Raw genomic sequence first — 12283 nt, 5'->3', positions numbered from 1 at the left:
TTCTTGAGGGGGACACTAGGCACCAGAAACAGAGAAAGCAAGAAGACTCAGTTTCTGTTCTCAGGGTCGGCCAGAGGTGTAGGCCATACAGATGATACAGTTGATACATTACTGCCTTGGGCCTAAGTCCTTTGAAGAGGCCCTTTCTGATTGAGAAAGTTTGGCTCCTCCAGGGAAAGTTTCGGGGAGTGGGTGGCAGGAACATTCTCTCTGACATTTTCTCCTAGATTGTATAATAGCCCCTTTATTATTATTATTATTTTTTAATTACTCATCCCCTTGCAATGTGATAGCCTCCTTAAAAGAAAAGCAATTTTTCTTTTGGTCAGGTAATACATATCCAAAGTACAAAATTGAAAGTGTACAAAAGGATACAGAGGGTTTTTTTTTTTAAACTATTTTTCTCTTCTGGTACATAAGCCACCTGTTCCCCTCCTGAGAGGCAACTACTGTTGCCGGAGTCTCACGTATCCTTTAGCAGTCAACTAAATTAATCCCAATTGGAAAGTGAACAAAGGCAAAACTCTATGCACCTGCAAGTATGATTGTTTTTGTCCCTTTCCACAAATTGTAACATGTCACGACACTATCTGCATCTTGCTTAGTGACAGTTTCTTAAACTTCTTTCCTGTCTCATCTTCTCTAATCTATTCTCCCCACTGCCACATCGAGTAATCACCTTTCATCATGACACTTTCTTGCTTAAAATCCTTTGAAGGTAACCTCTCCTTTGTAGGATGAACTCTAAGCCCCTTCTCTACACTTAGAAGGCTGTGTGCTAGGCTGGGTGCAGTAGCTCATGCCTGTAATCCCAGCACTTTGAGAGGCTGAGGTGGGCAAATCACCTGAGGTTGGGAGTTTGAGACCGGCCTGATCAACATGGAGAAACCCCGTCTCTACTAAAAATACAAAATTAGCTGGGCGTGGTGGTGCATGCCTGTAATCCTAGCTACTCGGGAGGCTGAGGCAGGAGAATTGCTTGAACCCGAGAGGTGGAGGTTTCAGTGAGCCAAGACCGCGCCATTGCACTCCAGCCTGGGCAACAAGAGTGAAACTCTGTCTCAAAAAAAAAAAAAAAACCCTCTGCTGACTAAGAGCCTTGCCTTTTGCCCTTCCTTAACCCACCTCCTAGTCTCCAGCCAGACAATCTGCAGCTCTTGGACCACGGTCTGTTTTTTTTCACCCTCTGGCTGTGTTTTTGCACATACGGTTCCTTCTATCTGGAATATCCTTTCTCATCATGTTGGCCTGGCTAACTTTAGTTCACCTGCCAAGACGCAGCACAGATATCACCTCTGCTGTGGATCTTTCCCCAACCTTCACCTCCCCCAGTCACCCCTATTTATGGGGCTCCATTAGCCCCCTTGTACATATCTCTGTGACTGCACTGATGTTGCTCTGTGAGGATCAGTCTCTCCAACTGAGCAGAGAACACTTTTGGTCTCTATGTCACTGTCTGCAAATTTAAAGTCCATTGTCTTCTTTAAGAATAATTTTCTTTCCAGCAAATTTTGGCTAAATACCACCTGCTCAGTTTCTCATTTGTAATTTGTAATTTTTAAATTTTATTTTGTATTAATTTTTTTTTCTGGGGAGAGAAGGAGCAGTGCTGGAAGCAGTCCATGCAGCAGGCTGGCCTCCCACTGAGTGAGTCTTAATTTCAAAATAGTTTTAGCATTTTAAAAACAATACTGTAAACTCATATGTGACAACAACTATTTTTTATACTTTACATAATCCAGACTTTTTTTTTTTTTTTTTTTTTTTTGGAGACGGAGTTTCGCTCTTGTTTACCAGGTTGGAGTACAGTGGCGCGATCTCGGCTCACTGCAACCTCCGCCTCTTGGGTTCAAGCGATTCTCCTGCTTCACCCTCCCGAGTAGCTGGGATTACAGGTGCCCAACACCATGCCTGGCTAATTTTTTGTATTTTTGCTAGATACGGGGTTTTGCCATGTTGGGCAGGCTGGTCTCAAACTCCTGACCTCAGGCCTCCCACCTTGGCCTCAAACTCTCGCCTTGGCCTCCCAAAGTGCTGGGATTACAGGCATCAGCCACCACACCCAGCCAATCCAGACTTTTTTGTATACTTATTGATATGGTTTGGCTCTGTGTCCCCACCCAAATCTCATCTCCAGCTGTAATCCCCATATGTAGAGGGAGGGACCTGGTGGGAAGTGATTGGGTCATGGGGGCAGTTCCCCCGTGCTGTTCTTGTGATATTGAGAGAGATCTCACAAGATTTGATGGTTTTAAAAGTGGCAGTTTTGACCTGGTGCGGTGGCTCACGCCTGTAATCCCAGCACTTTGGGAGGCCGAGGTGGGTGGATCACGAGGTCAGGAGATGGAGACCATCCTGGCTAACACGGTGAAACCCCGTTTCTACTAAAAATACAAAAAAAAAAATTAGCCAGGCGTGGTGGCGGGCGCTTGTAGTCCCAGCTACTCGGGAGGCTGAGGCAGGAGAATGGCGTGAACCCAGGAGGCGGAGCTTGCAGTGAGCCGAGATCGCGCCACTGCACTCCAGCCTGGGCGACAGAGCAAGACTCCGACTCAAAAAAAATAAAAAATAAAAAATAAATAAAAAGTGGCAGTTTTCCCCTGCCTGCTCTCTGTCTCTTCTGCCACCACGTAAGACATGCCTTGCTTCCCCTTTGTCTTCCACCATGATTATAAGTTTCCCGAGGTCTCCCCAGCCATGCAGAGTTGTGAGTCAATTAAACCACTTTTGTTTATAAATTACCCAGTCTCAGGTAGCATCTTAATAGTGGTGTGAGAACAGACTAAAACACTTATGTACTATTTTAAACATTTTTTTTAAGATTTAACTTTAGGATTTTAATTTTGTTTTTGTTTGAAACATAGTTGGTTTTTTTTTTTTTAAATATTAAGCTTGTTAATAGTTTTCCAGTGATGACCTTCCCTAGCTTTGTTTCTTTAAAAACATTTTCTCAAGTATCTCTGCACACATATTTCTTTTCCCCCAAACCTAGCACCGTTATGTCCTTAGCACCTAGCTTAGTGTCTGCCATATTCCAGGTGCCTAATGAACATTTGTGGGATGGATAAATGAAGGAATGAATGTATGAATACATGAAAGCAACTTTCACAGTGTTTCCAGCTTCTCCTTCCCCTTCTTAGCCATCAGTGAAATAAAACATATAAATGAGGATCAATTAAGGTAGCTCCAACTAGCAAGTAGAAGAAAAGAAAGGCAAAACTCCAAACACTAATATGAAAGAAGAAGAAGATCATTAGGAAGGCAGCTAATAATGAAAATGAGGTCCCAGCTAACATTAAGCTCTCCTATGCCTAGCCCAGGTTTCTGGATAGGGACCCCACTGCCCCTTCTTAGAGAGCCCTGCTCTCCTATCTTCTGGAGAAGCAGGTTGGGGAGTGAGCATGGGAGTTTACTCTAGAACTTGGATTGAAGCAGTGTGGTCCCTCCCATCTCTACCCAGGGGCCCTACGACAGGCAGGGTCAGCCCCAGTGGTGAATGTGTCTTCCGTTCGGCATGCACATGGGTACATTGATGAGGGGCACCTGACAGGCTGGAGGCCCTTTGACCTTTAACCAAAACTATGACTGCAGCAAACTGCTATTGACTTCATTCACTGGAGAGCTTGCCCAGAGACTTCAAGGAAGAGGTAACTGCCTCTGACACCCCTTACTCCACTCCCAGCACCACCTCCCAACCTTTCGCATCTCCTGCCAACATGTCCTGGCCATAAAGTACTCCCAATGTGCCCCAAACCAGCATTTTATTCCACTCCAACTATCATCTTTGTACCCTCTATTTCTCTCAACCCTGTATTCACATCATTTCAACCTTTTCCCACTCTTTTCATCTCCCACAATATTTCTTTCCTGCTGGTGTTTTCCAATACCAGCATCGTCCACCATGTTCCTCCTACAGTTCACCCAACACTTCCAATACCCATCCTTCCTTACTGGCTTGGGTACCATTAAGGTAAGCTACAGAGCACCAGTGTCCCCTGCACCACCCTCAAGTCACTGGTCAACACTACCCAACAGACTTGGTAGGATTTGCACGCTGCTGAACTACACTTAACCCCTTTTATCGGTCATCCTCCTCTCTCTTCACTTTGCACTCTCCTTGTGTCTCACCTTCTTAGGAATGACTGTGAATGCTGTGGAGCCCGGTGTTGTATACATGGGGATTATGAGGCATTTCTCTTAGCCATAATGCTTCCTCTTCTAGCTTGTCAGCTTCTTCATGAAGGTAGGTGGGGGAAAGAACTGGTTTGGCCTAGAGGAATGGGGCAGGGCTCAACTTCTCAGTGTGTCCCAGCAGGCCAAAGTTTGCCTGGCATGACTTCTTTTTCGCTTGTCCCTCCCAACAGGATCTCAAACAAGGTGTACTCCCAGTCCTCTACTTGAGCTTGGCAGAGGAGCCGGGTGGTATTTCTGGAAAATATTTCAGCAGTTCCTGTGTGATAACTCTTCCCGTTAAAGCCTCTCGGGATCCTCATGTTGCCCAGAGCCTCTGGAATGCCTCAGTCCGACTGACAAGCCTAGTCAAGATGGACTGACCCTCTGTGACCTCTGCCCTAACTTGCCACCCTGCCTCTAACTTCCAGCACTTACTCTGATTATGCCCTTTGTTTGCTGGCTTCTAGGACCAATTACTGTCCAGTATAATGACCACTTCCTATGCCTGTTGGCTTAGTGATGACTTGAGAGTCAAGAATAGTCGGGGCCAGCTGCGATGGCTCACACCTGTAATCCCAATGCTTTGGGAGGCTGAGGTAGGCAGATTGCTTGAGCTCAGGAGTTCATGACCAGCCTAGAGCAACATGGAAAAACCCCATCTCTACAAAAAAATACAAAAATTAGCTGAGCAGGGTGGTGTGTTCCTGTGGTCCCAGTTATTTGGGAGTGGAAGGTGGGAGGACTGCATTGAGACCGGGAGGTCGAGGCTGCAGTGAGCCAAGATGGCACCACTGCACTCCAGCCTGGGTGACAGAGCAAGACCCTGTCTCAAAAAGAAAAAAAAAAAAGAATAATTCACACAGTTTAATCTTCCACTTTATTGCCAGTTAGCCGGTGGAAGTATTCATCTTTTGGGAACTAGGATCTCCCAACCTACCGGGTGCTGTGGTGGGTTGTGGTAACTTGAAGTAAGACTCCTTCCGGGGAGCGCTGGGGATACCAGTAAGAAGGGAAACTTTCATTTGTACCTCTTGATTCCCAGACCTGTGCTTCTTGCCTATGGGGAAGATAGCCCCACACAGTGACCTCTGGATTAAGGCATTTACCACATCCTGTAGCACAGCACCCCAACCTCACAGGGAGTTGTCTCCCAACTAGTATTGTACTGAGCCTGCTCTGGGTGATGAGTCATAAAATCCAGTTAATTTAGGGAGTATGAGTCCATTGCTCCTTTTCTGGGATCTTTGTTCATGTATATAAATTTTAGAATCAGCTCTTTGAATTTCACACACACACACACACACACACACACACACACACACACACACACACATCCTGTTGGGGATTGCATTGAATCTATAGATATACTTGGGAGGATTGACATTTTTATGAGATTGAGGCTTCCTAACCATGGACAAGGTTGACTCTTATATCTATTTAAATCTTCTAAATACCTGTACAAAATTTTAAATAATTTTATCCACAAAGATCTTGTACAGAAGTTTTACTGCATTTATATTCAGGCACTTTCATTTTTATGCTATTATAAATGATATTTTAAAATGTGTATATCTGTTGACGGCTGTGTGAAACCTCAGTTCTTAGTTTGAAAGAATTTAAACAAGGGACACAGCAAAAGAAGTGCAGCATAGAGTAATTTATTGCACAAGAAAAAGAATATTTTGAAAGGTAGGTGCAGAACAGACAGTACACCGAAAGTGAGAGAATTCAGGGCAGGCTGCTCATAAGGATGAGACAGCAAAGACTGGCACTAGGGAGACTCTTATGGAAGTCTGACATGATTATTCATGAGGTGGGAAGAGGTGTTACTAGTAAGCATGTTCTGGGTGGTCCTCTGGGTGTGGATGTGCAGTAGCTGTATATGCTTGTTCATATGTCACATGTCTCATTAGCATCTTCAATATCCAGGGGTGTACTTTTTACTAATAAAATGAGCAAAGGGTCAGTTTGAGGACAGGTAAATCAAACTGCACATGCTGTCTGCAGGGGAAATTCCCTACTGAAGATAGCTTTGCTTGAATGAGCTCAGTTACAATGCATATGCTGAGGTTTATTGTGTTGATTGTACAGTCACCACTGTTGCTGCCTTGACTACTTGGTCACTTCCTTGACTACCTCTCCTGCCTCATATTGATCTTATATCAAACAACTTTATTAAGTTATCTAGTTCTAATAAGTCGTCCATAGATTCTCTTGGTTTTTCTACATGGAAAATCACATCATCCAGGAATAATCACAGTTTTATTTCTTCCTTTGTAACTATTCCAACTTATATTTCTTTTTCTAGAAAACTTTAATAGATTTTCTAGTATTGAAACAACCTTACATTTCTGGAATAAACCCAACTTTGTAATAGTGTTACCTTTTTTATGCATTGCTAAACAGCCTGCTCATTTTTTTTAAAACTTTTTACTATGTTCATAAAGGAGATTGGCCCAAATAAATAAATAGAAAAAAGAAAAAATAGTAAAGGAGATTGGCCTGTATTTTTCCTTATTTATGTGGAAACTGCCTAGTTTTGTTGTTATGAGTACTTTTTTTTTTTTTTTTGAGACAGAGTCTCTCTCTGTCGCCCAGGGTGGAGTGCAGTGGTGCGATCTAGGCTCACTGCAACCTCCGCCTCCCGGGCTCAAGCAATTCTCCTGCCTCAGCCTCCCGAGTAGCTGGGATTACAGGCATGAGCCACCACGCCCGGCCTAGAATTTTTAATCTACATATTTAACTTAATGTCTTTAATCAATATCTTCATTCTTCTTTAAAACAATTCATAGATTTTAGAGTTCTTTAACATTAATAATTCTCTTTGAATTTATACATTTTTGTAACCCTATATTTTAATTCTACTATTTTATTAATCTCACAAATCAGATATTATTATTATTATTATTATTTTTTTTTTTTGAGACTGAGTTTCGCTCTTGTTGCCCAGGCTGGAGTGCAATGGCGCAATCTCAGCTCACTGCAACCTCCGCCTCCCAGGTTCACGCAATTCTCCTGCCTCAGTAATCCCGAGTAGCTGGGATTACAGGCATGCACCACCAGGCCTGGCTAATTTTTTTTTTTTTTTTGTATTTTTAGTAGAGACAGGGTATCTCCATGCTGAGGCTGGTCTCGAACTCCTGACCTCAGGTGATCCGCCCACCTTGGCCTCCCAAAGTGCTGGGATTACAGGTGTGAGCCACCATGCCTGGCCACAAATCAGATATTATTTTAAATAGGTGATACTTGTATAGGTTTGCTCATATGTTTAATGTTAATACTTAATATTGCTTGCTCTTCTTTCTTGTATCTCAGATCTTCCATCTTGTGTTATTTTCCTTCTACCTGAAGTACATCTTTAGAAGTTACTTTAGGCCAGGCTTAGTGGCTCATGCCTGTAATCCCACCACTTTGGGAGACTGAAGCGGGTGGATTGCTTGAGGACAGGAGTTTGAGACCAGCCTGGGCAACATGGTGAAACCCCGTCTCTCAAAAATGCAAAAATTAGCCGAGTGTGGTGGCACGTTCCTGTAGTCCCAGCTATTCAGGAGGCTGAGGTGGGAGAATCACCTGAGCCCAGGAGGTCAAGTCTGCAGTGAGCTGTGATCACGTCATTGCACTCCAGCTTAGGTGACAGAGTGAGACCCTCTCTTTCTCTCTCAAAAGAAAGTTACTTTAGTGAGGATTTGTGGTAGACAGAATTCTAAGATGGCCTCCAAAGTTCTCATCTTTTGTTTATGTACCCTATAAAATCCCCCTTCCCCTTAAGTCTGAGCAGAACTCGTGAATATGATGGGATTTCTCTCCTGTGATTACGTTATTTACCTGACATAAGGGATTTTTCTGATGTAGTTAAAGTCTCTAATCAGTTAATCAAATTGGTGATTATTTTGGGTGGACCTGACTTAATGAAGTGAGCCCTTTAAAAGGCTTCAAGCCTTTACAGAAGTTAGAAAGATTCTCTCCTTTACCTTAAAGAAGCAAATTGCTACACTGTGGAGAGGGCCACATGGCAGGGATGGCAGATGGCCTCTGGGAGCCAGGCCTCAGTTCTATAGTCACAACAAATTGAATTCTGCCAATAACCAGTGAGCTTGAAAGAGGACCCTGAACTTCAATGAGCTTTCAACCCTGGATGACTTCTTGATTTCAGCCTGGTGACCTCCTGAGTGGAGGACCCAGCAAACATGTACCCAGACTCCCGACCCACAGAAACTGTGAGATAATAAATGTGTTTTTTTAAAAAATAAACATATTTATTATATTTTTTAGAGACAGGCTCTCTCTCTGTCACCCAAGCTGGAATGCAGTGGCACTATCACAGCTCACAGCAACCTCACACTCCTGGCTCAAGCAATCCTTCTGCCTCTCTGCCTCCCAAGTAACTGGGACTACAGGAGCATGCCACCACTCTGGCTAATTATTATTTTTTATTTTTTATTTTTTCAGAGGTAATCGAGTTAGAATTAAATTTTTTTTTCTTTTATAGAGATGGGGATTCTTGTTATGTTGCCCAGGCTGGTCTCAAATTGCTGGCCTCACAGGATCCTCTTGCCTTGGCCTCCAAAGTGGTGGGATCACAGGCATGAGCCATCATGCCTGACCTATGTTGCTTCACCCACTGAATTTATAGTAATTTGTTATGTAGCAATAGAAAACTAATATAAGATCTAATATAATAAACTTCCTCAGTTTTATTTGTTGGAGGATGTATTTATTTCACCTTAATGTTGGGGTATCAGTTTGCTACTGGCTAAGGAATTATAGGTTGACAGTTTTTTTGTTTTGTTTTGTTTTTTTGTTTGTTTGTTTTGAGACGGAGTCTCGCTCTGTCGCCCAGGCTGAAGGGCAGTGGCGCGATCTCGGCTCACTGCAAGCTCCGCCTCCCGGGTTCACGCCATTCTCCTGCCTCAGCCTCCCGAGTAGCTGGGATTATAGGCGCCCGCCATCACACCTGGCTAATTTTTTGTATTTTTTTTTGTTTTGTTTTGTTTTTAGTAGACACGGGGTTTCACCCTGTTAGCCAGGATGGTCTCCATCTCCTGACCTCGTGATCCGCCTACCTCGGCCTCCCAAAGTGCTAGGATTACAGGCGTGAGCCACTGCGCCCGGCCGACAGTTTTTGTGTGTTTTTTTTAATCCTGTTAAATATAGTATTGCTTTTTTTTTCTTTTCTTTTTTTTTTTTTTTTCGAGATGGGAGTTTCGCTCTTGTTGCCCAGGCTGGAGTGCAATGGCGCGATCTCGGCTCACCGAAACCTCCGCCTCCCGGGTTCAAGTGATTCTTCTGCCTCCCGAGTAGCTGGGATTACAGGCACGCGCCGCCACGCCTGGCTAATTTTGTATTTTTAGTAGAGATGGGGTTTCTCCATGTTGGTCAGTCTGGTCTCGAACTCAGGTGATCCACCCGCCTCGGCCTCCCAAAGTCCTGGGATTACAGGCGTGAGCCAGTCCACCCGGCTTGTTTTTTAAGATGGAGTCTTGCTCTTGTTGCCCAGGCTGGAGTGCAATGGCACGATTTCGGCTCACTGCAACCTCTGCCTCCTGGGTTCAAGCAATTCTCCTGCCTTAGCCTTCCGAGTAGCTGGGATTACAGGGGCCTGCCACCACACCCTGCTAATTTTTGTATTTTTAGTAGAGACGGGGTTTCACCATGTTGGCTAGGTTGGTCTCAAACTCCTGACCTCAGGTGATCCACCGGCCTCGGCCTCCCAAAATGCTGGGATTACAGGCGTGAGCCACCAACCCCGTACAAATACAGTATTTCTATGTCTTCTGGCTTTCATTGTTATTGAGAAATTGATGTTAATCTAACAGTTATTTTGCAGGGATTTTGCCTTTTCTCTTTTCCTCCTTTTAAGATTTTATCTTTGTCATTGCTTTTCTAGTTTCATTGTAATAAACTCACGAATTTATTACATGTGAATTTCTTTTTATTTATTCTGGTGGGAATTCCTTGGATTTCCTGAATTTGAGGATATGTATCTAACCTGTATTACTCTTTAAATACAACAATCTCTTCATTACCTTCCTTTCTTTCCTTCCTTCCTCCCTTCCCTTTTTCCCTCCCTCCTTTCTTCCTTCCTTTGCACCCCCCACTTTCTCTCTCTCTCTCTTTTTTTTTTTTTTTTTTTGGAGACAGAGTCTCCCTCTGTCGCCCAGGCTGGAGTGTAGTGGCACAATCCTAGCTCACTGCAGCCTCAAACTCCTGGCTTCAAACAATCCTCCTGCCTTGGCCTCACAAAGTGCTGGGATTACAGGAGTGAGCCACTGTGCCCAGACCTTTTTCTTCTCTCTTTATAGAATTGCAATTTAGATAAAAGCTAGATCTTCCCACTTTATCTTTCATGTCTCTTAATTTCTCTTTCATATTTTCCTTGTCTATATATGTTAAAGCTACATTTAAGTTCATTTTTTAAAAGCTCTATTTGGGCCCCCAATTCGAACCTTGGCCAAATTTCTGCAATAAACACTTCTAGTTCAAAAAAAAAGATCTATTTTCCAGCTTACTAATTTTTTTCTTCAACCATGGCCAATCTCTTGTTTATTCCATCTAGTAACCTTATGTTACCAATCATTATTTTTTTAAATTAATTAATTTTTTTTTGAGACAAAGTCTCACTCTTGTTGCCTAGGCTGGAGTACAATGGCACAATATCGACTCACTGCAACCTCTGCCTCCTGGGTTCAAGTGATTCTCCTGCCTCAGCCTCCTGAGTAGCTGGCATTACAGGTATCCGCCACCATGCCCGGCTAATTTTTGTATTTTTAGTAGAGACAGGGTTTCACCATGTTGGCCAGGTTAGTCTCAAACTTCTGACCTCAGATGATCCGCCTGCCTCACCCTCCCAAAGTGCTGGGATTACAGGTGTGAGCCACTGCTCCCAGCCCATTATTTTTTTATTACTAGATTTTATAATTAGTTATTTTCCAATCTATCTGGTCAATTTTGATACTCTTCTGTTCCTTTCTTATATTTTAAATCCTCCTATATGTTTTAAAAATATACTTAGCTTATTCATTTTATATACTGTAACTGAAAATTCCAGTATCTATAATCTTTGCAGGCTCGAACAGTTTATGGTGACTTGTTTCCTATGTTTTTAGTGACTGTAAACTCATCCTTCTTGGAACTATAGCTATAGAAATTATTTAAGGCTGTAATTAAAGTGCATTCCCTCATTACATTTCATTTGGCCGGGTTCCCAGGAGTACTAAACAACTTGGTACCACTTAAAATTAAATTTTTGTTTTGGGACTTTAAAAAAAAAAAATATATATATATATATATATATTCTGGTCCTAAACTTCTATGAGTACAAGTTTATTATTTGAATAATCAGAGAAGATTTCTTTTCCTCACCACTAAGATAGGCTTTTACCCTTACTGTTTCCCTCTGGAAGGGACTCTTTTTTGTTGTTTTTCACTCTATGGAGGATGTTACTCTTTTTCCTGGCTTATGTGTGTGGCGGGGGATAGCTCTCCATTCCAACCATCCATGATTTCATTTTCTGTCCCTATCCCCACTTGGAGATAGTGTTTCGCTGTGTTGCCCAGGATGGTCTCAAACTCTGGGCTTAAATAATCCTCCCATCTTGGCCCCCCAAAGTGTTAGGATTACAGGTGTGCGCCACCATGCCCAACCTTCTATCTACTTCTTATGGACTTTTAAACCCAGGTTCCAGACCACCAGAGGTTGACTACTTAGCAAACACTGGCTCCAGTGATCACCTGTGTTTTGGGATTCATATTTTCCTATCATCTCTATACTCTGAAGAATTTTCTTACTTTCCTACCAGTGCAGTCAGGCAATATAAATAGTTGTGTGTGTGTGTGTGTGTGTTTGTGTGAGTGGGTGTGTGTGAATGTTTTGTTCTGCCAACCTGCAGCTGGAGTCACCCCAAGTTGATCCCAAAGTAAGGGAGTTCCCACAAGGGAGCGCCCCAAACCATCTCGAGATGGGGCTGGTTGGGATTCCAAAGAAGGAAGCACTAAAAGCCTGGGGTATCAGTTCAAAGGATTTATTTGAAGAACTTACATATAGAGTGCTGCAGCATATTTTCAAGATGGACAGAGAGAAAAACAGGATGTCTTACCTAGGTTTGTCCAC

The sequence above is a fragment of the Homo sapiens genome, chromosome 2, assembly GCF_000001405.40.
Source record: "Homo sapiens chromosome 2, GRCh38.p14 Primary Assembly".
NCBI classification, from domain to species: Eukaryota; Metazoa; Chordata; class Mammalia; order Primates; family Hominidae; genus Homo; species Homo sapiens.
The sequence above is the reverse complement of the archived record's forward strand: the minus strand, read 5'-3'. Positions refer to the sequence as shown.